At 50.8% G+C, this 6,820-nt stretch overlaps 5 annotated features.

The window, feature by feature from the left end:
- Nucleotides 2,449–2,834: an enhancer, noted in NCBI's record as "CNE-3 PCR-amplified reporter construct fragment". NCBI's record gives its function as "activates a SHOX promoter by reporter assays in human U2OS osteosarcoma cells {active_cell/tissue: U2OS}" and the evidence as "EXISTENCE:reporter gene assay evidence [ECO:0000049][PMID:26631348]".
- Nucleotides 2,449–3,248: a biological region, named in NCBI's record as "CNE-3 enhancer upstream of SHOX". NCBI's record gives its function as "regulatory_interactions: SHOX".
- Nucleotides 2,450–2,834: an enhancer, noted in NCBI's record as "CNE-3 PCR-amplified reporter construct fragment". NCBI's record gives its function as "activates a beta-globin promoter by in ovo reporter assays in chicken limb buds {active_cell/tissue: limb bud}" and the evidence as "EXISTENCE:reporter gene assay evidence [ECO:0000049][PMID:19997128]".
- Nucleotides 2,681–3,248: an enhancer, noted in NCBI's record as "H3K27ac-H3K4me1 hESC enhancer chrX:460511-461078 (GRCh37/hg19 assembly coordinates)". NCBI's record gives its function as "activates a minimal SCP1, AML or CMV promoter by ChIP-STARR-seq in primed H9 embryonic stem cells {active_cell/tissue: H9 hESC(primed)}" and the evidence as "EXISTENCE:reporter gene assay evidence [ECO:0000049][PMID:30033119]".
- Nucleotides 3,249–3,815: an enhancer, noted in NCBI's record as "H3K27ac-H3K4me1 hESC enhancer chrX:461079-461645 (GRCh37/hg19 assembly coordinates)". NCBI's record gives its function as "activates a minimal SCP1, AML or CMV promoter by ChIP-STARR-seq in primed H9 embryonic stem cells {active_cell/tissue: H9 hESC(primed)}" and the evidence as "EXISTENCE:reporter gene assay evidence [ECO:0000049][PMID:30033119]".

The raw sequence follows: 6,820 nt of genomic DNA on the forward strand, positions 1-6,820 counted from the left end.
GAAATCCTCCTTCTGTCTCCGAGAGTCTGACAGAGACAGCATGTCATTATCTTAACAGCTGTAAATCCCAATTATTTCTGAGGCAGAAAATGCACTCTAAAATATGCATGCTTATTTAAAAAAAGAGAAAGAAAAAAAAAACCCTCAAAGATTGCAGTCGTGTTGCTATAATTTAGAGCCCTAAACCTCAGAACCTCCGGATGAGTCTTCGGCTTGATATTGTGAGACCGGCTCTTTCAATCTTGGAGGGATATCTCAGCAAATGCTCCTCTTCCCGTTCTCTGCAAGTGGGGGGAAACCGCCGCTGACCCACGGGGTGACACGCAGCTGAATCATTCCAAAGGGAACCGGGGGCCGGATTGATCTGCGTTGGTCGCTAACGAAGGCTCGTAGGCAAAGCTCAGCGAAGTGGGCTCGGCGGACACAGGGTGGGCTCGGGGCCCCGGGGCCGGGCCTGCTGGTGGAGGCTGGGGATGTCTTTTTGATTTTGTCGTTAGGAAGCCGTACCGTAGTCTCTCCGAGGCGTTGGGTGAAATTCACAGATTTCATCTTCCGTGAACTGTGGCTCACTTTTTGATATATATATATATATTTTTTCCCCCGATTGCTTGATGTCACCCTGTGCTTTTTCCATAAGACAAATGCAAATGAGCCAGGCATTCTAACGAGGCGAGCCCTCGGAGGTGACCTCTTTCTGGGGAAGCTCCGGTCTGCAAAACCACGATGAGAGAGGAAAACGTTTTTTTTTTTTTTTGCAGAGAAAACTCAGGCCTGCTGTTTAATCAGGGCCTTTGCTGCGGCCGCTGCTCCTGCAGACACAGAGGCGTTAATGAGGCAAGACTAGTCCCCATGTCCCCACGTTGGAGGCCTGGGATGAGGATCCCTTCTCTGTCCCCCATGTCTGCATCCCAGGACGCAGGTGGATCCGAGTCTGCTGCATAGACGGCCATTAGGTCCCAGGATGGAGCTGGATTCGAGCCTGCTGTGTAGACGGCCATTAGGTCCCAGTCCCAGGATGGAGCCGGATTCAAGCCTGCTATGTAGATGGCTATTAGGTCCCAGGATGCAGGTGGATCTGAGTCTGCTGCATAGAAGGCCATTAGGTCCCAGGATGGAGCTGGATTCGAGCCTGCTGTGTAGACAGCCATTAGGTCCCGGGATGCAGCTACATCTGAGCCTGCTGCATAGATGGCCATTAGGTCCTGGGATGGAGCTGCATTGGACCCTGCTGTGTAGACAGCCATTAGGTCCCAGGATGCAGCTACATCTGAGCCTGCTGCATAGATGGCCATTAGGTCCTGGGACGGAGCTGCATTGGACCCTGCTGTGTAGAGAGCCATTAGGTCCTGGGATGTAGCTGCATCCGAGTCTGCTGTGTAGACGGCCATTAGGTCCCAGTCCCAGGATGGAGCTGGAGTTGAGCCTGCTATGTAGATGGCTATTAGGTCCCAGGACGCAGGTGGATCCGAGTCTGCTGCATAGATGGCCATTAGGTCCCAGGATGGAGCTGGATTCGAGCCTGCTGTGTAGACGGCCATTAGGTCCCAGTCCCAGGATGGAGCTGGAGTGGAGCCTGCTATGTAGATGGCTATTAGGTCCCAGGACGCAGGTGGATCCGAGTCTGCTGCATAGATGGCCATTAGGTCCCAGGATGGAGCTGGATTCGAGCCTGCTATGTAGATGGCTATTAGGTCTCGGGATGCAGCTACATCTGAGCCTGCTGCATAGACGGCCATTAGGTCCTGGGACAGAGCTGCATTGGACCCTGCTGTGTAGACAGCCATTAGGTCCCAGGATGTAGCTGCATCCGAGTCTGCTGCATAGATGGCCATTAGGTCCCAGTCCCAGGATGGAGCTGGATTCGAGCCTGCTGTGTAGACGGCCATTAGGTCCCAGTCCCAGGATGGAGCTGGAGTCGAGCCTGCTGTGTAGACGGCCATTAGGTCCCAGTCCCAGGATGGAGCTGGATTCGAGCCTGCTATGTAGATGGCTATTAGGTCCCGGGATGCAGCTACATCTGAGCCTGCTGCATAGACGGCCATTAAGTCCTGGGACGGAGCTGCATTGGACCCTGCTGTGTAGACAGCTATTAGGTCCCGGGATGCAGCTACATCTGAGCCTGCTGCATGGACGGCCATTAGGTCCTGGGATGGAGCTGCATTGGACCCTGCTGTGTAGACAGCCATTAGGTCCCGGGATGCAGCTGCATCTGAGTCTGCTGCATAGATGGCCATTAGATCCTGGGACGGAGCTGCATTGGACCCTGCTGTGTAGACAGCCATTAGGTCCCAGGATGTGGCTGCATCTGAGCCTGCTGTGTAGACGGCCAAAATAAATAACAAAACTGTGTTGGCAGGCGGTGACCGACAGACGAACCACTGGGCTCTCATCCCGGCCGGCCCTTTGAGTTGTTTAAGTTCCTCTTGTACTTGAATTGTTTCCCCAGAACGAGGTGGATCAAAGTGTCATACAGTAACAGCCCAGACAGACGATAGGTATGGCAGAAAAGAAAAAAACTAAAAAAAAAAAAAAAAAAAAAAATCGCATGGGAAGTTTCCCCGCCTCCTCTTTGGCCATTCTGTGCCCGGAGATCAAAGTTCTCATTTCAGCTCTAATTAAGAAAAACTAACACAGAGCCAAGGCCTTCTGGCTCCGAAGAGGGCCTTTGGTGGATCACTGCTGAAATCTTCCCGAGATTTAAATAATTAATATGACACCTTGAGCTCTGCACGGAGAAATTAAAAAAAAAAAAAACAAAAAAGGGAAAGGGAAAGGGGAGGAAGGGGGCCCCGTGTCGGAGCGGGGAACAATGGGATTGAGGATATGGCAGAGCATTTGTACCCCTGGATGCGTGCAGCCCTCCTTTGTCATGCTAAAGGGGAACCTTTATTTTCTGTGGTCACCCCGGGTGCTCAGAGCCTCTAGGAGGATCCTTTCGGAAAGCAAGTCTGCTGTGGGGAGTTGGAGGACGCTCATTTAATGCTTTTTAATCCTGTTAATCCCAGGCAGAATGGCCATCCCCAGCGCAAATCCGGTCCCCAAAGCCCTCCCCGGCTTGCCAGAGCCAGGCTCCCTCCCAGACGCTCCCGGGAAGCATCTCTTCTGCGAGCCGGCCTGTCTCTGTGCTGGGTTCCCGGAGCCATCTGAGCCAGCACAGGCGACGAGAAATTAAAATCAGGCCTGGCATTGTGCTACGTCTCTGTGCTGGGTTCCCGGAGCCATCGTGAGCCAGCAGAGGCGACAAGCAATTAAAATCAGCTGCAAATCCTACGGCCGGAGCGTCCGGGGAGTGCAGGACGGGACCAGCCAGGCCTCGAACCCCCGTCCCTCTGGATGGGGTCGAGTCTGAAGATTCCTCCTCCTGCCCAGGACTGTTCAGATCCTCGGTGGAGTGTGGACACGGATTAGTCGTCCACTGCTGCAGACGAGATCAGAGCCAAGCCTCGGTATTCAGTTCGTTACAACTTCATAAAGCCAGGTCGCTCCCCCTCTGCCTCTGTACGCAGGAAGAAAATCGATCGGTCTAATTTCATAGCTCAGCATAAAACTCGACGGAACCTTTGCAAAGGCAATGATAAAAAAGATCCCGGAAAAAGCCGACAGTCTCCACGGCATGACGGCGCGGCCGCAGCTGAATAAACTCGGGGTGGGCGGCCAACCCTGCTGCATAGACGGCCATCAGGTCCCAGGATGGAGCTGGATTCGAGCCTGCTGTGTAGACACCCATTAGGTCCTGGGACGGAGCTGGATTCGAGTCTGCTGCATAGACGGCCATTAGGTCCCGGGACGGAGCTGGATTCGAGCCTGCTGTGTAGACAGCCATTAGGTCCTGGGATGGAGTTGGATTCGAGCCTGCTGTGTAGACAGCCATTAGGTCCTGGGACAGAGCTGGATTCGAGTCTGCTGCATAGACGGCCATTATGTCCCGGGATGGAGCTGGATTCGAGCCTGCTGTGTAGACAGCCATTAGGTCCCGGGACAGAGCTGGATTCGAGTCTGCTGCATAGATGGCCATTAGGTCCCGGGATGGAGCTGGATTCGAGCCTGCTGTGTAGACAGCCATTAGGTCCTGGGATGGAGTTGGATTCGAGCCTGCTGTGTAGACAGCCATTAGGTCCCGGGACGGAGCTGGATTTGAGTCTGCTGCATAGATGGCCATGAGGTCCCAGGACGGAGCTGGATTCGAGCCTGCTGTGTAGACATCCATTAGGTCCTGAGACGGAGCTGGATTCAAGTCTGCTGCATAGACGGCCATTAGGTCCCGGGACGCAGGTGGATCCAAGTCTGCTGCATAGATGGCCATTAGGTCCCAGGATGGAGCTGGATTTGAGTCTGCTGCGTAGATGACCATTAGGTCCTAGTCCCAGGATAGAGCTGCATAGGAGCCTGCTGTGTAGACAGCCATTAGGTCCCAGTCCCAGGATGGAGCTGGAGTCGAGCCTGCTGTGTAGACAGCCATTAGGTCCCAGTCCCAGGATGGAGCTGGAGTCAAGCCTGCTGTGTAGACGGCCATTAGGTCCCAGGATGCAGGTACATCCTAGTCTGCTGCATAGACGGCCATTAGGTCCCAGTCCCAGGATGGAGCTGCATAGGAGCCTGCTGTGTAGACAGCCATTAGGTCCCAGTCCCAACACACACAAACCACAGTAAACACATACACTATGCACAACACAGATGCCACACCACACACACACAACACATAAAATACACACTACACACAAAACACCTACTGCACACAACACACAGAATACACACTACACACAGCACACACAAACCACACTAAACACATATGCTATGCACAACAAAGATGCCACACAACACACACACATAGAACACACAAAATATACACAACACACACAAACCACACTAAACACATATGCACAACACAGATGCCACAGAACACACACACATAAAACACGCAAATACATACTATACACAACACAGCACAAACCACACACTGCACACACAAATGCACACTACACACAAACCACACAAACCACACTAAACACACACACTCTGCACAGTACAAACACCACACTAAATACACATATACACAAAATACATATGACACACAAAATACATAGAAAAACACAGACTGGCCTCACAAACCACACACACTATGCACAACACAGATGCCACACCACACACACACATATAACACACAAAATACACACTACACACAGCACACACAAACCACACTAAACACATATGCACAACACAGATGCCACACAACACGCACACACCCAACACACAAAATACACACTACACACAACACACACAAACCACAGTAAACACACACTATGCACAATACAGATACCAGACAACAGACACTTACAACACACAAAATACACACTACACACAACACACACAAACCACAGTAAACACATACACTGTGCACAACAGATGCCACACAACACACACACATACAACACACAAAATACACACAAACCACACTAAACACATATTCTGTGCGCAAAACAGATGCCACATAAAACACACACATGCAACACACAAAATACCTACTACATATACACAACACTAAACACAGACGTTATGCACAACACAGATGCCACACAATACACACACAAAACACACAAATACATACTACACACAACACAAACCACACTAAACACACACTGCACCCACAAAATACACATTGCACACAACACATGCAAACCACACTAAACACACACTATGCACAATACAGATACCAGACACCACACACTTACAACACAGAAAATACACACTACACACAACACACACAAACCACACTAAACACATACACTCTGCACAGGACAGACGTCACACTGAATACACACACATAACACATAATCTACAATTACACGCAACAGACGCAGACGTCGCTAAACACACACACTCTGCACAGGACAGACACCACACTAAACACACACACACACAAATGTGGTAGGTCACCCCCACATCATGAGCCCCAAGAGCCAGTTGATTTCTGCCTCAACAACGGTTGATTTGAAGGAACTTACGATGAATTAAGATGTGGACATCTGGCCGGGCGCGGTGGCTCACGCCTGTAATCCCAGCACTTTGGGAGGCCGAGGCGCGTGGTGGTCAGGAGGGTTGGATCCTCATGAATGGGATTCATCCCTTATAAAAGAGACTTCAGGCCGGACGAAGGGGCGCCCACCACGAAGCCCGGCTAATTTTTTGTATTTTTGGTACAGACGGGGTTTCACCGTGTTGGCCAGGATGGTCTCGATCTCTTGACCTCGTGATCCGCCCTCCTTGGCCTCCCAAAGCGCTGGGATTACAGGCGTGAGCTACCACACCCAGCTTCTCAATTTTTTAAAACTGAGATTAAGTTTGCATGGCACGCAAGCAATCCTTTCAAAAGTGAACAGTTCAGGGACGTGTGTGTGCATTTACAATGTTGCTGTACATTTACAATGAGAGGGATTGGGGGTGTGTCTGTTTCATAGGGTTCCTTCTGGGGGAGCAAAATATTCTAGGAATAGAATTTTCCAGAAGGAAACCTATCAAACAGTCACAGCCCCAATCCCTCTCTCTCAGCCCCTGGCAGTCACAAAGCTCCTTTCTGTCTCAACGAATTTGTCTGTTCTGCGTTTATTTTTTAATAGACTTGCTTATACATAGAAAAGAATTTCAAAGTTTGGCCACTGCTGTGCTTGCTGCTGGTGGCTATGGGGTCTTGATACTTCTTAGGATATCCCCCTAGGATAACATCAGGGTTCCTGAGGACATCTGACTTCTGTTCTTTTTTTTTTTTTTTTGAGATGGAGTCTCGCTCTTGTCACCCAGGCTGGAGTGCAGTGGCTCGATCTCA

The sequence above is a fragment of the Homo sapiens genome, chromosome Y (assembly GCF_000001405.40).
Source record: "Homo sapiens chromosome Y, GRCh38.p14 Primary Assembly".
In the NCBI taxonomy this organism is placed as follows: Eukaryota; Metazoa; Chordata; class Mammalia; order Primates; family Hominidae; genus Homo; species Homo sapiens.